Source organism: Homo sapiens, chromosome 18, assembly GCF_000001405.40.
Source record: "Homo sapiens chromosome 18, GRCh38.p14 Primary Assembly".
Taxonomy (NCBI): Eukaryota; Metazoa; Chordata; class Mammalia; order Primates; family Hominidae; genus Homo; species Homo sapiens.
Window position 1 is genome coordinate 1,929,478 of NC_000018.10, and position 22,220 is coordinate 1,951,697.

Sequence of the window (22,220 nt, forward strand, 5' to 3'; positions counted from 1 at the left end):
CCACCTCCACACAGAAGAACCAACATAGTGAGTAGTTATCCACTTTGAATAGATCATCTGAGAGAACACTGGAATTCAACAGAGAAGTGACAAGAAACACTTAAAGCAAGGAAGAAGGAATTGAGGCAGCCTGCTGGGCTGGATCAACTGGGAGCCTGGAGGGGCTCCTCAATGTAGGACAGAGTAAGTGTGAGATCCCAGCAGTCCACGTTCTCACCACAGGCTCCTGCAATCCTAGCCACAGGGAAGCCCCTCCATCCAGAGACTAAGATAGGGCACAGCCTGGAGGTCGCAGGACGGCATGCTGGATACAACCCCATCCCTAATAGCACAGTGCATACAGAGAGTCCAGTTCCCACCAAAGGGCATCATGCCTGGGGGCTCAACAGCCCTGCCCCCACACATCCTCCACACATCCACATTCCCTGCCCGCAGCCCCTGCTGTGACTGGCTGGTGCTATTGCAGCCAGGGCTGAAGCGTGAGCCATTCCAAAGACCCTACTGACTCCACTGCCCCCAGCAGTGAAGATGCCATGCATTTTCACATGTCCTGAGGACAAATTCCCCTGCCCACAGGAGCCGCTACAAGAGCCAGGGCCAAAGTGTGAGTTCCCCAGCTGCCTGCTTAGGGCTGCTGCCACTGAAAACAACCCCACCCCGCTGAGTAGCAGGGCTGCAGCACAGCTGCTGCTGCCCCCACCCCTGCATTTCACCTTGGTCCTAGGGATCACCCTGCCCCTGCCTATCAGAGCCCCTGCATGCACCACTGAGGGCCCTAAGGTCAGGTCTTCCTGGCCAGCTCAGCCCCTCCAGTGCCAGAGCATGCTGTCCCATCTGGGAACCTAGGGGCCACTCAGTGCTCAGTTGAGTCCACCACTGGTGTCACCTGTGCACTCCTGTCAGGGGCCTGAGGTCAGGCCCACCCAACCTGCTACTGCCACCACAGCTGGCACCCACTGCCCGTGATCTGGGAACTGGCTCTCAGCCCATCACAGCCAACACCAGCACCAGTGTGGACAGCGTGGGAGCTGAGGTTTGTTCAGCCTCTGCTACTGCCATCACCCACACCACACCCACTGTCCAAGGCCTTGAGAACCTGCCCACTGCTGCCACTGCTGGCACAGGAGCAGGACACCAGGAGGCCCAAGAACCAGCCCACCTGAACCAGCTAATGCCGGGGCCAGAGTGTGCTGCCCTGGGGCCCAAGGGCAGGCTCCCTCAGTCTGCCACTGCAAACACAGGCCCCGGGACAGGACCACTTGATATCCCTGTACCCAGCAAAACTTTACCACAGCCTATCTAATAACAGGAATTGGGACCTGAAAAGACAGCAGTACTAAATTCTGAATTGATCCTTTCAAATATTTTGATGTGTTGACTTTCCACAGAACAGGGAGACATTACATGTATTCCCTAGCAGTGAAGCAATAAGAAAAGTGACTAAACTCATAATAAAAGGCCCAAATGAAAGCTTTTCTGTAAGAAAAAATTAGACTAGTGTTATTTCCAGTGTTACCACATACCCTAAATGCAAACAAACTATCTTGAAATAGAAAGGATAAGAAGAGAATCAATGAAAAGGGCTAAAGCTGAGCTTTGTTTTTCAAATATCTGAAAAGCTGTTGAGTTTTTCAATTTTACATACAAATGTGTTGTAAAAACGTGCAGCCTGATTAGCAAGCAATAAAACTATCTTGCCAAGTAGTTTTAAAGGTCTAAGCTCTTTAGTAATTTAAGAAGAATCTGCATCAAGCTAGAAGACACTGCTTCTTCAAATAAATTACACACAATCTTTTACGTTTGGGTTTTATAGCTTTAATTGAATGTTTGCACCACTTATAATGTCACAGTGTTTAAGATTTAACTTAACAATTGCCATCTGAAACTTCTCACGTTATCCTGTAAGTCTTCTAACAAGGTTCAAGTGTGTGTGTGTGTGTGTGTGTGTGCATTTTTTCTAGATTTTTATTTTAGCAAGTCACAACAGAACACTATTTTCTGGTTTTAACTTTGATGCAATGGCATTAATTATTTATTCTGCAATTATGGAGCACTGGATACATACTAGACATCATATTTGTCACTGGCGTACTAAGATAAATGGGTCGCCATCTTGCACTCGTAAAATTTACAAGGTAACGAGGGATACAGAGATAGGCTGCTAGGAATAAGTTTTCCTACATTGATCTGAACAGCTATCAAATCCATTTTTATCAAGTATCTTGGTTTTTAGAGTTAAACGGGTCCTCAAAACTCATTCTTTCATCTTTTTAAAAAAAGGAAAACTAGGTTGAAGCAGATTATAATTTGCCCAAGTGTCCTTATTACCCCAGAACTGGAAATAAATATCCACCTTCAAGTCTAAAGCTTTTTCTGTTGATAAAATCTTAGAGGCACACTATTTATTATACAGAACCAAACATTAAATGGTTTTTGGTTAGCAGCGAAGCCAACTCCTGAGAATGATTATCTCATTTTTATATAAAATATGACATTAAATAAACATGAACAAAATTAATATTACTACATAATTTTGATGTAATATAATTTTATTTTATCATTTTTGTATTTACTAATTCACTAAAATACATTAAAATAATTTTTAAGTAATTTATTCTATATGGGTTTTACCTTAATTATATATATTTGTACTTAATTAATTTGTTTTATACCTCCCAAAAAATGGTTAAAAAAAAGACACATTTGAAGGTTACATCACGCATTTAGATAAGGAGTAGAAAAGTAGTTAAACTCAAATGTGCTTACATTTGTATCAATAATTATAAAAATATTTAACCTGCAGCACAGAAGTTAAGGATATGTTACCTGCTTTAAAGATTAGAGCTTCAAAAATGGGCTCATATCATATTACAGAGCTTTTTTTCCCACTTGATATATTGAATACTACTACTAAATAATAGTTCTTTTGTTTCTATGGTTTTTATGACCAGAGCTTGTGTATTGAGAGTTTGGTATTTTTGTTTCAATCTATAGCTGTTAAAAGCCACAGAATATGTAGTACCAAGGGAAATCGCGGGAGACAAAAGCTTCTTGATCAATATAAAATGACTACCAGCCTAGACCATCCAGGCTGTCAGTGTATAGTTTTAATGAAGTGAATATCTAGCAAAATGATACTTTACTTTTAATATCACCACCTATTTGAAATATGTATGTCTACGTCCAAAGAAAGAACTAACAGAGAAGACCTGAATTTAGTTTCCCAAGTAGAGGTTAAATTATTCTTTTAGTAGCAAAGCACAGTCCAGCATCAATTATAGAAAAAATTCTTTCCTACATAAAAAATGCTCACAGATGTAAAAATATGAAACTAATGTTGTTTCCTCTCTTTCCTGAACCGAACAATACGCTTAAAAAATATAAAGCTCATGATTCACATGAAACATTTTCTAGTGCTGGACAGCAAGTTGGACGGCACCTAATGTCAGGAATTCATTGATTCCTTAGGAAGTACTCTCTGTTATAGTCAATAATAGTACCAAAAATTGAAGGTTTAAAAATTTTTCATTCTTTACTCGCCAGTAACTACTTACTGCATACCCATCTATATGCCAGGCACATTTCCTTTATAGTGAATGTAGGCACTATTCGCTTAATACTGAATATAAGGAAATTGAGACTAACTCCAGAGTGGTTAAATGAATTCTTTAAGGAGATAAAGCAAGTAAGTGACAAAAAGATGTTCTTTCTAACTCTGAAATCTGATGTCTTTCCTTATGTTTGTTTGCCCAGGCAATTTGAGGTGGTAATCCATTTCACTATTGTATGACAAGGAAATCGGTTCTAGGCCTGTCTCCGCCACTATCCAGCTGGGTGACATTAGGGCTGATTACTTAACCTCTTTGAGCCTTAGTTTCCACATTTACTCTGAATCATATAGGTAGATCTCAGAAAAAAGTCAATTTAACAGAGATTATAGGAAGGCAATTTTTAATTAATGTAACATGTCATTTAAATGTGTAAAGAGAATTTATCATCATGTTCATAGAATATATGTGATTATTTTCAGACTATTATTTTATAAACCATTTAGAAAGAAAAAAAGGTCACCATTAAACTAAACTATGACCAAGTCACTTTCTTTCTGTGATATAAATTCCTTGATGAGTACAAAGAAAAAGGTGTCACCATTAAACTAAACTGTGACCAAGTCACTTTCTTTCTTTGATATAAATTCCTTGATGAGTAGCAACACGATATGGAGCACCATCAAGATTGCGGGCAGGGCATTCTGTGAGTTCACAGGTGGTGGTGCAGGCAGGGAAGGCAAATTCATATGCAGAATACCTGTTCGTCCCAGTGAGGACAAGTCTGCCTGCTTCATAATGTGAAAGGTCAATGTATTCAGCTACCTACAGGTGGCTGGCAGGTCCCACAAGCAATGGTGCCATCTTAGGGGCTCAATGTTAGTATCTGTTTTGGCAGATTAGACACTCAGCAGTAACAACAGCCAAATCAGACAACAAAGGGATGCCATGTTGTAGACTTCATACATATCAGACAACAAAGGGATGCCATGTTGTAGATTTCATACACAGCCTTCATTGCTGCCACCATGGCCACTATGTCCATGGGCCCATTGAGCAAGCACTGGGGTGGCTGATGAAAGAGGCTAACTGACATCCTCTGAGTCCTTCATTTTGTCCTTCTAATTAGCAGGCCCCTCCTTAGTAAGATGCCCTTTTGTGGTATTCACATGAGACATACCTATCTTCATAGTCTGTGCCAACTCCAAGCAATCCAGCTACATGCCTCTCCCCCAGACTTCCTTTTCACCCATTTCACAATCCTGTTTCTTCCAAGCCACTGACCATTCAACCAGACCTAGCAACTGCCCTCAAACTGTTGCAGACACACAGTTGACCCTTTAACAACACAGGAGTTAAGGGCAGAGACACTAATGAAGTCGAAAATGCATGTATAACATTTGGCTTTCCCAAAACTTAACTATTAATAGCCTACTATTGATGGAAAGCCTTATCATTAACATAAACAATCAATTAACACATATTTTGTGTGTTACATGTATTATATACTGTGTCCTGACAATAAAGGAAGCTAGAGAAAAGAAAAAGTTATTAAGAAAATCATAAGGAAGATAAAATATATTTACCATTTACTAAATGGAAGTGAACCATCATGAAGATCTTTATTCTCATTATCTTCACATTGAATAAGCTGAGGAGGAGGAAAAGGATTGTTTTTGCTGTCTCAGCAGTGGCAGAGAAGAAAATCCTTGTACAAGTGGACTTGCACACTTAAACCTTTGTTGCTTAAGGGCCAACAGTATACTTCTGGCAACTCACTTCAAACTAAGCATCCAAATTTTGCCCACAGGGAAAATTTTCCTTCACTGCTTTCCTTCACGATCACCTCTGAGTGGGGCTAAAACGCTGCAGTCATCCTCTTTCAGTTGACATCAGCATTTCTTGCAGACCTACCTATCTGAAGCTAAGCTTTGAATTTTTTCTTCTTTAGTCAACTGATCATAAGATACTTCCCGTATGGTGGCCGGGTGTGGTGGCTCATGCCTGTAATCCCAGCACTTTGGGAGGCCGAGGTGGGTGGATCACCTGAGGTCAGGAGTTCGAGACCAGCCTGGCCAACGTAGTGAAAACCCCATCTCTACTAAAAATACAAAAAAACTTAGCCAGGGGTGGTGGTGGGCACCTATAATCCCAGCTACTTAGGAGGCTGAGGCTGGAGAATCGTTTGAACCTGGGAGGGAGAGGTTGCAGTGAGCTGAGATTGTGCCATTGTGCTCCAGCCTGGGTGACAAGAGAGAAACTCAATCTAATAAATAAATAAATAAATAAAAAGATACTTCCCGGTTGTATTGAGACGAGGCAATGCAACAGAAGTTGGTGATAGAGGAGTCTGAGTCACCCACTCACAACTTATTTGTACTTTCTATACCTGCCTAAGTCAATTGCCTCTTATGCCCTTTCCGCTTAGTGATAAATCACTAATGCTTATACCCATGTGTATGGCTTGCTAGATAAAATGATATCCACTTCATTACAGGAAACTTAGGCTTCATGATCAACTGGTATCGCATAAACACTCACTCTCTAGCAAGACCTGAGTAGCTTGCAGAAAGCCTGGAAGGAAACAGCACAAGGCCCAATAGTAAAACCCAAGAACTTGAAACTGATACTAAATATGTGTAATGTTTTAAAGGAATAAACATAACAAGGAAATGAAGGAAGGACATATTTAAAAAAAAATAATTCCCAGAGCTAAAAAAAAAAAAAAAAACAATTATCTAAAGTGAAAAATCCACAAAATGGACTTAGCTGAAGTTTAGATCTGGCTGAATAAATGAATGACTGGTTAACTTAAAGACACTACAATAGAAATGATCCAAACTAAAGCATTCAGAGAAATACAGTTGTTTTCTTTAAAAAAAGGAAAGCCTTAAGAAAATGAAAATGTGTGAGGCACTATCAAGCAATCCAAAATCTGTTTAATTGGAGATCTAGAAAGGGAAAGAGTAGATAGAAAGTACATTTTAAAAAATAATTGCCAAAAAACTTCAAATTTGATGAAAACTTAAACCTGAATTCCAAAAATCTGAACAAACCCTAAGCAAAAACAAAAAAGAAACACAACTCAACATACATGATAATTAAAAGGGGAAAAAAAAACTAACAAATGACTGTGATAAAGGAAAAAAAAAAATCTGAAAAACTGCCAGAGGAAAAAGAATACATTACAAATAGGGGAATATAGATACTACTACCACAAACAGAAATATCACAACAAAAACAAGTTTAAAATATAGGAAAAATATCATGAAAACTTTAATTATTAGAATGATGCTATATTAATATCAGACATAGAAAAATTTAGCACAGGAAATATTATCAGAGATTAGGAAAAATGTATATGTCATAATGATAAAGGGGTAAACCCATCAAAGACATAACAACCCTTCTAACTAAGAATGTAGCTGATAGCAGAGCTCCAAACTACATAGAACAAAAGCCAATAGATGTGGAAGATCAATTAGACAAGCCCACACTTAACGCAAGGGATTTCAATTATTTCTTTTTTTAATAATTGATTGAACAAGTAAATATTGAACAAGTAAAGAGGAATCAGCATGGATAGAGAAGAACTTAAAGCTGTCAATCAATTCAACCTAACTGAAATTAATAAAGTATATCCAGCAGTGGCAGAATTCTTTTTTTCTTCAAATTCATAAGAAACATTCACCAAATCAGACCAAGACATTATAAGAATTTGGAGTTGCAGATGATAAAGAAAAATGTATAACTTTAATTACTAATTTTAGAAAAGAAGAATGTTTTCAAATCAATTCCAATCAGTACAGTAAGGCCAGATGAAATGAAAGTATCTAGATTTAAACAGAAGTAAAACTGTCTTATTTTGCAGATTACATAATTATGTGTGTAGAAAATCTGAAAGCACCTACAAGACCACTACTAGAATTAATAAAGCAAACTTAATAAGGGCACATGATAAAAGATTAATATACAAAAATTATTTCAGTATTACTAGTAATAATCAATTAGAAAATGAAATATGGACAAACAGCTTGCAATAGTATAAATATATATAAAATAGTTTGAGAGAAATGCAAGATAAGTGCTTAAGATCGACAGAACGTTGCTCAGAAAAATAAAGTAGTTCTACAAAATGTAGACAGGCATGTATATACTTTGAAACATTCAATTTTTTTTCAAGCCGAGCTATAGATTCAGTGCAATTCTAATCAAAATGTCGTGTTTTCCACAGAGATCAACAAATTAATTCTAAAATTTAAACTGAAATGCAAAAGATATAAAATAGCAAAGTAAATTTTAGAAAGGAGAAATAAAATTTGACCCCACTTTAATTTTTTTTTTTATTTCCAACCTTTATTTTAAGTCCAGGGGTACATGAGCAGGATGTGCAGGTTTGTTACCCAGGTAAACGTGTGCCATAGTGGTTTGCCACACAGATCATCCCATCACCCAGGTATTAATCCCAGCATCCACTAGCTATTTTTCCTGATCCTCTGCATCCTCCCAGCCCGCAACCTCTGACAGGCTCCAGTGTGTGTTGTTCCCCTACACCATGTATCCATGTGTTCCCGTCATTTAGTTCCCACTTATAAGTGAGAGCATATGGTATTTGGTTTTCTGTTCCTGTACTAGTATGCTAAGGATAATGGTCTCCAGCTCCATCCATGCCCCTGCAAAGGATATGATCTCATTCCTTTTTATGGCTGCATAGGATTTTATGTTGTATATGTACCACATTTTATGTTGTATATGTACCACATTATCCAGTCTAGTTGGTGAGCATTTAGATTGACTCCATGTCTTTGCTGTCATGAATAGTGCTGCAGTGAACATATGCATGTATGTGTCTTTATAATAGAATGTTTATATTCCTTTGAGTATATATCCAGTAATGACATTGCTGGGTAAGAATGGTATTTCTCTCTCTAGGTCTTTGAGGAATTGTCATACTGTCTTACACAATGGTTGAACGAATTTACACTCCCACCAACAGTGTAAAGGCATTCCTATTCCTATTGTTGTTTCCTACCTTTTTAACAATCGCCATTCTGACTGATGTGAGACGGGATCTCATTGTGGTTTTTATTTGCATTTCTCTAATGATCCGTGATGTCAAGCTTTTTAAAATACGCTTGTTGGCTGCATGTATTGGACTCCACTTTTAATGATACATTTAAAATTGGTGTAATCAAGACTGCACAGTGTTTCTAAAAGGATAAGTGTATAAATCAATAGAACACTATAATGAGACCACAAATAGACATGTACGGTCAATTGATTTACTATAAAGTTATCAATGCCTTTTTGGAGTTGGGAAATAATAGTCTTTTCAACAAATAGTGATCCATATAGAGAACAATAAACATTGACCCTCATCTAACTACATACACAAAAATTAACTCAAAATAAATCATACACCTAACACAAAAGCTAAAATCCATAACTTTTAAAAGAACACCTAGGAAAAAAATCTTTCAATCTTACAGTAAGCAAAGGTTTCTTACCTAGGTAACAAGGACGAAAATCTCCAAAATGATTGATAAAATTAACTGAATCTAATTTGTTAGAAGCTATTCCTCAAAGTACACCAAAAAGAAAATGGAAATGCAAGTTAGGATGTAAATATCCTGTGTATACATTTGTATTTTATGGTCATTAGATTAACAGAAAATAAGCATAGAATAAATAAAATTTCCAAAGACAATAGTCAGTTCCATAATAAAAACTAATAAAATTTACGAATCTCTGGTGTGTCTTGAGAGAGCAAGAAAGAGAGAAAGAGAAGAAGCAGAGAGAAAACAAATGAACATTATTAAGCAATAAAAGGAATATAACTCATACATAAACACACTAATAACATTGAAGTAGAATTTGTAAACATTTTATAACAATAAAATTGAAAACTTAGATGAAATAAATATCTATATATTCTAGTTTTGAAAATACATAACTTCAAAAGTCATGGATATTATGAAAGAGAAAACCTGAATAATTCCAACTTACACAAATATTATCCCAGTGCGTGGAAAAGACTCTACATGTCGTTTTTCAGTATAGAATAATCTTAATACCAAAATCTTTCTCTTAATGTACAGACACTAAGAAAAAGGAAAGTTGCTTTTCAACCTCACTCACAAGCATAGATGAAAAATTCTAACAACTGTATAAATTAGCAAACAAATCCAACAATATGTAAGCCAATAATACCTCTTGACTCAAGGATATAAGAACAGGTCAACACCAGAAATTCTATTAATGTACTTCATTCCATTTACATATTTTAAAAAGGAAGGAATATTACATCATTTGTAATTAAAAACTCCTTTTTATAAATTTTATTGTATAAATTTAAGGTATACAATGTGATGTTATGAGATACATATAGATAATAAAAAATGGTTACTAGAGTGAAGCAAATTAACATATCCATCATTTCACATGGTAACCTTTTTTCTATAGAAAAAGCAGCTAAAATCTATTCATTTAGCAAAAATCCCAAATGCAATATAATGTTACTAACCATAGTTCTTGTACATTAGGTCTCTAGACTTGTCCCTCCCTACATATCTGCTATTTTGCATTATTTTCCTGCCCTGACCACACCCCCTGGTAACCACTGCTTTATTTTCTATCTCTGGACATTTAAATTTTTTTTTTAAGGTTCTACATATAAGTGAACTTGTAATATATTTCTTTCTGTGTCTGGCTGATTTTGGTTAACACAATGTCCTCCAGGTTCATTCATGGCAAATGGCAGGATTTCAATTTTAAGGCTGAATAATGCTCCATTGTGTGTGTTATGTGTGTGTTGTGTGTGTGTGTGTATCACAGTTTTTTTTTTTTTATTTATTTGACCATTGATAGACACTCAGGTTGTTTCCATATCTTGGCTATTATGACTACTGTTGCAATGAACATAGAAGTGCAGATATCTTTAGAAGGTTGTGATTTCCTTTCCTTTGGGTGTATATCCAGCAGAACGATTGCTGGCTCATATGGTTGTTCTACTTTTAATTTCTTTAGAAGCCTCTTGATACTGTTTGGATGTATGTGCTCTCCAAATCCCATGTTGAAATTTGATCTCCAATGTTGGAGTTGGGGCCTGGTGAGAGGTGTTTGGGTCATCGGAGTAGATTCCTCATGAATGGCTTGGTGCTGTCCTCACAGGAATGAGTGAGTTCTCATTCTATTAGTTACCACCAGATTTAATTGTTAAAAAGAGCCTGGCACCTCCCCCAGCTCTCTTGCTCTTTCTCTTACCATGTGACATGCCTGCTCCCCCTTTGCCTTCTGCCATGAGTAAAAGCTTCTTGAAGCCTCACCAGAAGCCAAGCAGACGCTGGTGCCATGCTTCTTGTACAGCATGAACTGTGAGCCCAATAAACCTCCTTTCTTTATAAATTACCCAGCCTCAGATATTTCTTTACAGCGATAAAAAATGGACTAATACAGAAAATTGGTACTGGGAGTGGGGCATTAATGTAAAGATACCTGAAAATGTGGAAAGGCTTTGGAACTGCATAATAGGCAGAGATTGAAAGAGTTAGGAGGCCTCAAAGGAAGAAAGGAAGATGAGGGAAATTTTGGAACTCCTTAGAAACTTGTTAAGTGGTTGTGACCAAAATACTGACACAAATATAGATAGTGAAGGTCAGGCTGAAGAGGTGTCAGATGGAAATAAGGAACTTATTGGGAACTGGAGCAAAGGTTATCCTTGTTATACCCTAGCAAAGAACTTGGCTGCATTGTGTTCATGTCCTAGGGCTCTGTGGCAGGTTGAACTTAAGAATAATGACCTAGGGTATCCGGTGGAAAAAATTTCTAAGTGGCAAAACATTCAAGAAATGGCACGGCCAGTGAGCCGAGAGCGCGCCACTGCACTCCAGCCTGGGTGACAGAGCAAGACTCCATCTCAAAAAAAAAAAAAAAAAAGAAATGGCATGGCTGCTTCTAACAGTCTGTAATCAGATATGGTAGCAAAGGAGGGACTTAAAGTTGGAACTTCAAATTAAATGGGAAGCAGAGCCTAAACATTTGGAAAATTACCGATGTGGCTGTGTGGTAGAAAAGGAAAGAGCATTTTCAGAAGAGGAACACAAGTGGGCTGTGCTGTGGAGCAAGCACTTGCTACAGAGATTAGCATGACTGAAAGGCAGCCAGGTACTAACAGCCAAGACAATGAGAAAGAGGCCTCAAAAGCATTTCAGAAGTCTTCAAGATAGCCCTTCCCATCGCAGGCCAAGGGGCCTAGGAGAATGGAATGGATCTGGGGACCAGGCCCAAGGCCCCACTGTCCTGTGCCTCTTCAGGATGTTCCCTGCATCTTGGCTGCTACAGCTACAGCCACAGCTCAAATGGCCACCAGTACTGCCTGGGGGTACCACTAAGCCTTGGCTGCTTCCATATGGTGTTAAGCCTACAGATACACAGACTGTACAAGTGAAGGAGGCTTCACAACTTCTACCTAGATTTCAGAGGACGTATGGGAAAGCCTCAGTGGCTACACAGAAACCTTCCACAATGGCAGAGCCCCAACAGAGAGCCTCTACTAGGGCAGTGCCAAGGGAAAGTGTGGAATTAGAGTCTCCACACAGAATACCCACAGGGAAACTGCCTATTGAAGCTGTGGGAATGGTGCTGCTGTCCTCCCAGATCCCAGAATGGTAGAGTCACGGGCAACTTGCCCCCCTCAGCCTGGAAAAGCTGCAGGCACCAGACCCCAACTCATAAATGCAGCCATGTGTGCTGAACCCAGCAAAGCCATGGGGGCAGGGCTATCTGAGGTCTCAGGAGCCCGCCCCTCACACCAGGATACAGAACATGGAGCCAAGAAAGATTGTTTTGTAGCTTTAAGGTTTAATTTCTGCCCTGTTGGGTTTCAAACTTGCATGGGAACTATCGCCCCTTTCTTTTGGCTGATATCTTTCTTTTGGAATGAGAACGTTTACCCAATACCCGTACCACCATTGTACCTTAGAAGTAAATAACTTGTTTTTAGTTTTACAGGCTTATAGGTGGAAGGAACTTGCCTTGAGTCTGTCAATGAAAAGAGTCAAACTGTAAAATATTTGAAGAGATTTATTCTGAGCCAAATATGAGCGACCATGGTCTGTGACACAGCCCTCAGGAGTTCCTGAGAATATGTGCTCAAGGTGGTTGGGGTGCAGCTTGGTTCTATATATTTTAGGAAGGCATGAGACATCAATCAAATACATTCAAGAAATACATTGGTTTGGTTTAGAAAGGTGGGACAACTCAAAGCAGGGGCTTCCAGCCTATAGGTAAATATAAACATTTTCTGGTTCACAATTGGTTGAGTTTCTCTAAAGACCTGGGGTCAGTAGAAAAGAATATTCAGGTTTAAGATCAAGGATTGTGGAGACAAAGTTTTATTGTGCAGAGGAAGCTCTTAGATAGCAGACTTTAAAGAGAGCAGGTTGTAAATTGTTTTTTATTGCACTTAAAAGGATGCCTGGCTCTTAGTTGATTATCTCCCGTATCTGGGAAGGAAGGAAGAAAAAGGGACAAGGAGGTTCTGTATAGAATGTGGATTTTTTCCCACAAGAGACTTTGCAGGGCAATTTCAAGATATGGCAAGGAAATATATTTTGGGGTTAAATTTTTTTTTCCTTGTCTCATAATGTTATTCCAGAGTCAGGTTGAAAAGTAAGTCACAATATATAGGGTCAAATAAAACCCATCTGATGAGAATGTGTGGCTTGTAGGGCATGACTCCCTAGACCTATTCCTAATGGTAGAAATTTGTGTAAGATAAAAAATCAGAGCTTAGTCCTCAAGTCTTAAATGAGACTTTGGACTTTGGACTTTTGAGTTGATGCTGGAAGGAGTTAAGACATTGGAGGACTATTGGGAAGGGATGATTGTATTTTGAATGTGAAAAGCACATGAGATTGGGGGGTCAGGGGTAAACTGATATGATTTGAATGTGTGTCTCCTCCAAATCTCATGTTAAAATTCGATCTCAAATGTTGGAGTTGGGCATAGCAAGAAGCGTTTGGGTCATGGTGGTGGATCCTTCATGAATGGTTTGTTGCTGTCCTCACAGTAATAAGTGAGTTCTCACTCCATTAGTCACCATGAGATCTGATTGTTAAAAAGATCCTGCCATCTCTGCCCTCATCTTGCTCCCTCTCTCACTATGTGACACAGTTACTCCCCCCTTGCCTTCTGCATAAGTAAAAGCTTCCTGAGGCCTTACCAGGAGCCAAGCAGATGCTGATGCCATGCTTCTTGGACAGCTTGCAGAACCTGCCACCAAATAAACCTCTCTTCTTTATAAATTACCCAGCCTCAGGTATTCTTTACAGCAACACAAAATGAACTAACATAATTCCATACTGTTTTCCATAATCACTGCACCAATCTACACTCCCACTAACAGTGTACAATGGTTTTTTTTACTTTATACCCTCAACCAGTACTTATCTATTGTCTTTTTGATTATAGTCAACCTAATGGGTGAGAGGCAATATCTCATTGTGGTTTTAATTGCATTTTCCTGATGATTTGTGAGGTGGTACATTTTTTAATATATTTGTGGGCCATTTTTATGTCTTCTTCAGAGAAATGTCTATTCAGGTCCTTTGTTCCTTCATTTTTTAATCATTTGTTTGTTCATTTTTTTTCAGTTGTAAGAGTTCTTTATAAATGTTAGATATTAATCCCTTATCAGATGTATGGCTTGCAAATATTTTTTCCCAATCAGTAGGTTGGCTTTTCATTGTGTTGATTGCTTCTTTTGCTGTACAATATAGTAAAAATTCTTAGGAAAGCAGCAATGGAACGTAAGAGGCTTATGCTGATAAAAAATAACTATACAAAACCTAAAATATACATTTTATTTAAGGGTGCAAAATTCAAAAGAATTTTTTTAATTTAAGGAACAAGGCAAGTAGATGAACTATCACAGGTTCTAATAAATATTATACTGGGGATCCCGGTAGCACATGAAGACCAAAAAAGAAATAAACATTACAAAATTAGGAAAGGAAAAAATAATAATGTCATTTTCTGCAAAGGAATCTACATGAGTCAGGATATCAGACCCAGTATATCCTCAGTCATGTTTAAGTATATGAAATTATCTGGATTAAAATTAATACACAAAAATTAATTGTGTATCTATATGCCAAGAATAAAGATTTAGAAAATGAAATTTAAAATTACCATTTATCATAGGTAATATCAGAGACTAAACTACACAGGAATTTGTCAAACAGAAGATTTCTAGAATTCTACAGAGAAAATCATAAAACTTTATTGGCAGACATTTAAGAGAGCCTAAATAAAAGGAGAAATATGCCATGTTTATAGATTGCAAGTCTCAGTATAATAAAGACATCAGTTCTCCGAAAATTGATCTATAGTTTCAATGCCATTCCAATAAAATCCCAACAGAGTGTTTATGAAGCCTGGCAAGCTGACTTTAAAATTGATATGGTAGATTAAAGGGCCTAAAATTGCCCCCACAAAAAATTTGCAAAAGAACATAATGAGAATTGCCTTAACATATATCAATAATATCTATGAAGCTATAATTAAGCTAGTATAGTATAAGCACAAGGATAAACAAATTGGACAATAGAATAAAAACCAAAATCTCAGAAAGAAATCTACCCATAAAGAATGAAATTTGCTTTATCACATAGCTGGAAATCCAGATCTTTGAAGAAATATCTACTTTTCAATAAATGTGGCAGAAATTAGGAATCTACCATAGAACAACACAAAGTTAGGTCCCTGCTTCTTATAATACCTGAAATTCAATTCCAGTGGAATTAAGGTCTAAGTGTGAAAGGCAAAATTATAAAATTTTACAAGACAATAGAAGAAAAATTTCTATAACTTTGGGAAAGATTTCTTAAACAAGATACAATAGCATATATTGAGGAAGTCACAAAACTTTGAAGCTACAGTTTAGCCATATTAGCCACTTTGAGTTTGAAATATCACAGGATGAGTAGAGGGCATGGAGTAGAGAGGAGGAAAGCAGTGGTTACTCTATGGAGGAAGAGTAGGAGCCAAAGGCCGAGAGCTTCAATAATTTCTGAAAATAGTAATCAACTCAGATGACAAAAATAAAGAGTGTATGATGGTAGTACGGTTGCAGGGCATAGCCTCAAAAAAGGCTAAGGTTTTGCTTGAAGGAGGATTAATACCACCTAAGGGCCACAGTGGAATACTGTGAAAATGGCTGCTACTTGGTTCAGTAGTATATGGAATATGGAGTTAATATAAGCCCAAAATTGAGAGTGCAGGCCACCCAGGAGGTTGTGCCTTGAGGAACCACAGGGTTTCCTTTCTACCAAAGGGTTGAAAAGCTCAGAGGAGGATTAAGAAATTAAGTGTATACATTTATAATGAATTGTTTGTTTTAGAGGCTATAGTAATATAAGTTTGGAAGAAAAGCAAAAGTAGGAAGAAGATAAGAATAGAAGATGCACGTAACATAAAAATAATTATAGGGTGGGTTGCTTGAGCCTAGGAGGTCAAGCGCAGGAGGTGAGCCTTAATCACACCATTACACTCCAGCCTGGGTGACAGAGTGAGACACTGCCTCAAAAAAAAAAAAAAAAAAAAAAAACCTATGAGTGAATTCATTGCAGACCTTACATTATTATTACTACTAGCATAGCTTGACAGGAGGAGAAGCATGGGAGAGGTAATTGACCCAGTTTGTAGCCAGAATCAAATCTCATGTGTGTAGCTTCCCATGGGAAGCAGTCTCATGTGTCTCATGTGTATTCCACCCAGCAAATCTGAAATATAACAAAGTCAACAATGTGAGCAACTGTTCTGAAGTCTCTTCCGCTTCAAGAAGCCAAATAAAATGTTGGAGTGAATTGTTTAGATGTTCTCAAACCGTCATTTCTCAATCGGTGACTCTGAAATGCCAAGGAAAAATGGGCTCTGAAGAGGACCCTGCTCACATCATAAGGCAAGGGATACTGTCCACAGAATTTTACCTCTATTATGCATGCCTTGGCTTATAGGTGTGAGTCGTTGCTTGGTAGAACAAGAGACAAATCCTTGATAAACCAAAGGATATAATTAAGGCAAGACAAGAGGCTGGAAACAAATATTGCATTGTGGGATTTAAAGAGGAGTTTTAAAGTAACAGTGATAAGCCTAGGCAACATGGCAAAACCCCATCTCTATGAAAAATACAAAACTTAGCCAGGCATGGTGGTGTGCACCTGTAATCCCAGCTACTCAGGAGGCTGAGGTGGGAGGATGGCTTGAGCCCAGGAGGTCAAGGCTACAGTGAGCTGTGATTGCAACACTGCACTCCAACCTGGGCAACAGAGTGAAACCCTATCTCAAAAACAAACAAGCAAACAAACAAACAAAAAACAGTGATAGAGATGTCTGCAGAATAGAACTTAAATCAAGCAGGTGTTTTCATGGTTATTCAAATGGAGCTGAATGATACTGATTTAATTATTGACATAAGTAAGACTGAACTGATGAATTAGGAGTAAGTAATTTATGGTTTTTAACATCTAATTACAGTTTTCTCTATGGCAGCTACTAGAAATCTCTCCTATGCTCTCCATATTCTAATTCTTGCTATGCTGCTCCCCAGTTTTCATGCTCCTTCCCTCCCTTCCTCCTCACATCCACTCATTCATCACCCATTTCTAAAGCCCTGATTTTCTAACATGCAATCCTCTCTTCCATGGGAAGTCCCCCAAGAAATATAATTTATTTCTGATCTGCCTGCTTCTTAAGAGGAGGAGTCTGGAAGCTTGCAGAGTAAAATCATTCATTTTATCCATTCTGTTATCTCTTCCCTCTGAAAAATCTGTTTGACAGCCTAACAAAGCTATTGCATAACTCTAAGTCAGATGAACAGGTAAAAATAGGAACCTCAATATTGATTTGAGGCATCTCAGCCTTTTCTGACTGACTACCAAACTCCCCTTTCTTCTTTGCATGCTAATTGAATCCTCTCTCTGTTGGTTTAATCCTCTCCCTGTTGATGGGGTGCATCTGTCTGCCTGGCTACAATCATAAAGCTTCTTCTAATAAACCTTGCAATTGAGGTATTCGCAGTGTCCACAGGAACAAACTCATTATTGTTAGAATTCAATTTCAATCCAGCTCCTCCATGTCTATATCATCAGTTTGGAAACAAGGTAGAAGATTCACCCTGTCTTCTTCTTTGTCAGAGTGGTTAGTCCACAAATACCTTCATTACCTCACGAGTGCAATGATGTGAAGATGTCTCAATTCTCAATGTACTTATGGGAACTGGGAATGCCAGAGACTTAATACCCAGGTAGTCATAGTGGTCCTACCTCTTACCAATTCAGTTGCTCTGGAAGTGAATTAGAAGGGGTAATCTCTGACTTGAGTGCTGGGCTAGCTCTGGGGATTTCCTCATAGGTGACTGAGCAAATATTTTCTCCCTCACTCTCAGCAGTACCATGTGTATAAGGAGAAACATCTTTGGGAGTGTGAGGGGCATTTGGATCACTCGGAGCTCCCCACTCTGCCAGGCATCTCATTCAGAGCTTTACTTGTTGATCCGTTATTCCTCAGTCCCAACTTGCTTTACCAACTGAGACTCTGAGTATTTGATAAAGCTTGGCTTTGTTTAGTAACTCGTGACTATAACAAAAGATTACAGTTGATTCTTATTATTTGCAGTAGTTATGTTCTTAAAAGTCACCACAAGTACTGAATTAGCAATACTGTTCCATTGCTCCTTGAGGAAATACAGTGCTAGGGTCCTGCAAGCTTCTGGTCACAACATATTTGTAAACCAGTCAATATATAAACTTATGTGTTTCTGTTTAAAGACATAATATGTATATTTAATATACATATTAGTCCATCCTCACACTGCTATAAAGAACTGCCCAAAACTGGGTAATTTAGAAAGGAAAGAGGTTTAATTCACTCACAGTTCTGCATGACTGGGGAGGCCTCAGGAAACTTACAATCATAGCAGAATGCAAAGGGGAAGCAAGGCACCTTCTTCACAAAGTGGTGGGAGGGAGAAAGAGTGAATGAATCAAGGGGGAAGAGGCTCTTATACAACCATCAGATCTCATGAGAATTCACTCACTATCATGAGAACAGCATGTGGGAACTGCCCCCATGATTCAATTACCTCCACCTGTTCTCTCCCTTGACACATAGGGATTATGGGGATTACAATTCAAGATGAGATTTTGGGTGGGGACACAGCCAAACCATATCAATATATATTGTTGATTTATCAACACTGAACACACAAAGGCACTATATCTCATGGTGTGCCCAAATAAAGTTTCTCTAGCACTGGTGTTTTCTCCATAAGGCACATTGCAGTCTTCTTGCACTTTACAGCACAAGAATTGAAACAAGGAAGTAGAGTGTTGATTTGTTCAGCCTCATCTGGGAAGACATGCCTCAGGCAACTAAAATTTTTTGCTACTCTGTGCATATCCACAAATAACAGTGAAAGTGTCACAGTATTGACTCTGAGGTTTCAAAATTTTAGCAAGTAGATGAATTTGCAATATGGAATCTTCCAACAAAGGTTATTGACTGTATATACTAATTTTCTGAAAGACTTGGCCTACAGATGTCCTTTGGGTTTTAATAATGATTATCCACAGTATGCTAAAAATTGGTGACATTTTTGGCATATAATATTTTGAAATTGAGGAATTTGATATTTTTTAAATGCTGTATTTCAGTTGCTCTCTGAAATTTAGAAGATATGGCAAAAATTAGGCACTAGCTCCCGCATGGCAGTAATAGTCCACAAGACCCAAATGGTGGCTGAACTCCTTAGAGAGATAGGACCTGTACTTTTCAGTTTTATGTCTTGAAACACCTGCCTGCTGCATTAATTTATGTTGACCAATGTTGGAATTGAATTTGAGACAGCTGCTTTAAAGTCCTCTGGCAGTCTTGTTTTACTCCAGTAGCAAATAACCCATACCTCAAATCCCAAATCCTAATTGTCTTAGAATCTCCCAGGAGTTGCCAAGTCCCTGAAGATTCAGGTGCTAATGACTTAGAAAATAAAATTCTTCAACTGAACCATTGTCCTTTTCTCTCTCTCCAAGAAAGACTTAATTTGTTAGGGAATTTTGAGTCTAAGATTATTGCATAAAAAACACTTTTCAGTTTACAACTTCATAAAGGAGCTGCTTAACCTTCCATAATTTAGTGAGTTGACATAATTTTGAATAAATTTAGTTATGCTTTTAATAAAACCCAGTCTTTTTTTTTTTTTTGAGACAGAGTCTTGCTCTGTCACCCAGAGTAGCTGGGACTACAGGCACATGTCACCATGTATGCATATACGGCTTCTTCTTCTTCTTTTTTTTTTTTTTTTTGAGACAGGGTCCTACTATGTTGCCTGGGCTGGTCTGGAACTTCTGGGCTTAAGTGATCCTTCCACCTGGGCCTCCCAAAGTGCTGAGATTACAGGCATGAGCCACCATGCCTAGCTAAAATCCAGTCTTGAAGAGCAAATTCTTCCAAACTTTGTAATTCTAATCCCAGAGAGTCCTCTTCCAGATTTAGGAAAACTAGCTGCACTTTTTGTCCTATGAATATCTAATTTCTTGCACTTTAATTTCAACATTTGAGTGGTCATTGCAAAGGTGGGCTTTCAGTTCAGTTCTAGAGTAATGATTGTTTCAAAAGGTCACTGAATCTTTACCTTATGTCTAAAATAGAACATGATGCTTTCTAAAATGTACACCTAATAAAGCTAAATCAAGTGGTTAATCTGGGTATAGTAACCATTCCAGAGAAAAATAAGTCCAACCAAAAAAAAAAAGCCTTGAGTAATAATTTAGATATTTATCGTAGGTTTCCACTTTTTAAGGGAAAGCATTTTAACAAAACCTTTCCTAACATCCTCTTTACAGATATCTCCATCTTACCAGATATTCACACAAAGCACTATTTTTTTTTAACTATACTTTAAGTTGTGGGGTACATGTGCAGAACGTGCAGGTTTGTTACATAGGTATACACGTGCCATGGTGGTTTGCTGCACCCATCAACCCGTCATCTACATTAGGTGTTTCTCCTAATGCTATCCCTCCCCTATCCCCCCACCCCCCAACAAGCCCCAGTGTGTGATGTTTCCCTCCCTGTGTCCATGTGTTCTCATTGTTCAACTCCCACTTATGAGTGAGAACACGCAGTGTTTGGTTTTCTGTTCTTGTGTTAGTTTGCTGTGAATGATGGTTTGCAGCTTCATCCATGTCCCCGCAAAGGACATGAACTCATCCTTTTTATGGCTGCATAGTATTCCATGGTGTATATGTGCCATATTTTCTTAATCCAGTCTATCATTGATGGGCTTTTGGGTTGGTTCCATGTCTTTGCTATTGTGAACAGTGCCACAATAAACATATGTGACAAAGCAGTATTTTTTAAAAACTGGTATCTTCTGTCTTCAAGACCTGTTTTCAATGTTATGATGTTCTCTTCTTTACTTCCCCCCTTTACAAGTGGTAACAGAAACTACCTCAAAGTCCTACTGTCCAATGTGCAAATATTCCTGAGTCTTGCTTCTCTGAATCTCATCATATTAACCTTAAATTTTAAAAATGTAATATGGTTGAATGCTTATCTGTTTCTTCTACTGTATTAAAAATTATTTTAAGACAGAAACTAGGTCTTGAGAACTCCTTGTATCCTTAGGAACAAGCTCATGGCTGGTACTCAATATATGTTGACACTGAATGTTCACTTGCACAGGTTATTGTCAATGTAACACTTGTATGAGCTCAGCACAGAAATTTTCAACATTGACAAGTCATTTCAATGTATGAAGTAGTGATGTAGATTATTTAGATTAAGTGATGTCAACTGGAAGACTTGGATTGAAGAAGCTTAAAACTTTTGCTATTCAGGCTGTTAATCTTCAAGATTGATGGAATCTTATTTTTAGATCATGGAAAAATATATAGGCAACTGCTTTAGTAGTTGTTAATGGCATCTGTCGGGCATACAACTATCGACTGAAGATGAGTCAGACAGGCCATAAAAAACATCTGAGTCCTGAATACAAACAGGAGAGAAAAGGTTCTATAATTGTTTATGGGTTCACCAAAGACGGTCTGCTAATTAAATGTTGGAGTATTTACCCGAAACAGCCATCATAGGAAACTAATGAACTTGTTCAAAGGATGAAAACAAGTTATCACCTGTTCTGTCAGTCAATAGCACTGAAACAAGCAATTTCCATCACTGTAGGGTCCCACAAGTAACTCAAGCCACCAGATTTTAATTAGCTTCAAAGACTACATACTGGGTGGTAAAGTTTAGCCATCCACCTTTTTGTCATATAAAAGTCATTTTTTAAATACAAAATATGGTGTAAAATTGTGTATGTCTCTGTACATCATTCAATCAATGTAGAATAGGAAGAACAGGAAGAAACAGAAAAAAGAGATGGTCTGTTTTGCTAGCATTATAATGCACTCCAGGAAGAGTAGGAAAAAACTAAGGAATGAATAATTTAATCAACATCTCACTCTTTACTTTACATCTAATGGTCTTATCAGAAAATACTAAACATGGCACAGTATGAGAACACAGTGAGCAGGAGAGATTCTTCCACCCCACATGCTAGCAATGATGTATTAATACTGTGAAATGCAAGGCTGTTTCTATAAAAATGTATTA

At 38.0% G+C, this 22,220-nt stretch overlaps 1 annotated feature.

The window, feature by feature from the left end:
- Positions 15,631-15,800: an enhancer, noted in NCBI's record as "experimental_47754 CRE fragment used in MPRA reporter constructs". NCBI's record gives its function as "activates a minimal promoter by MPRAs in K562 erythroleukemia cells, with activity observed for both the introgressed and non-introgressed 18:1945194 variant alleles {active_cell/tissue: K562}" and the evidence as "EXISTENCE:reporter gene assay evidence [ECO:0000049][PMID:34662402]".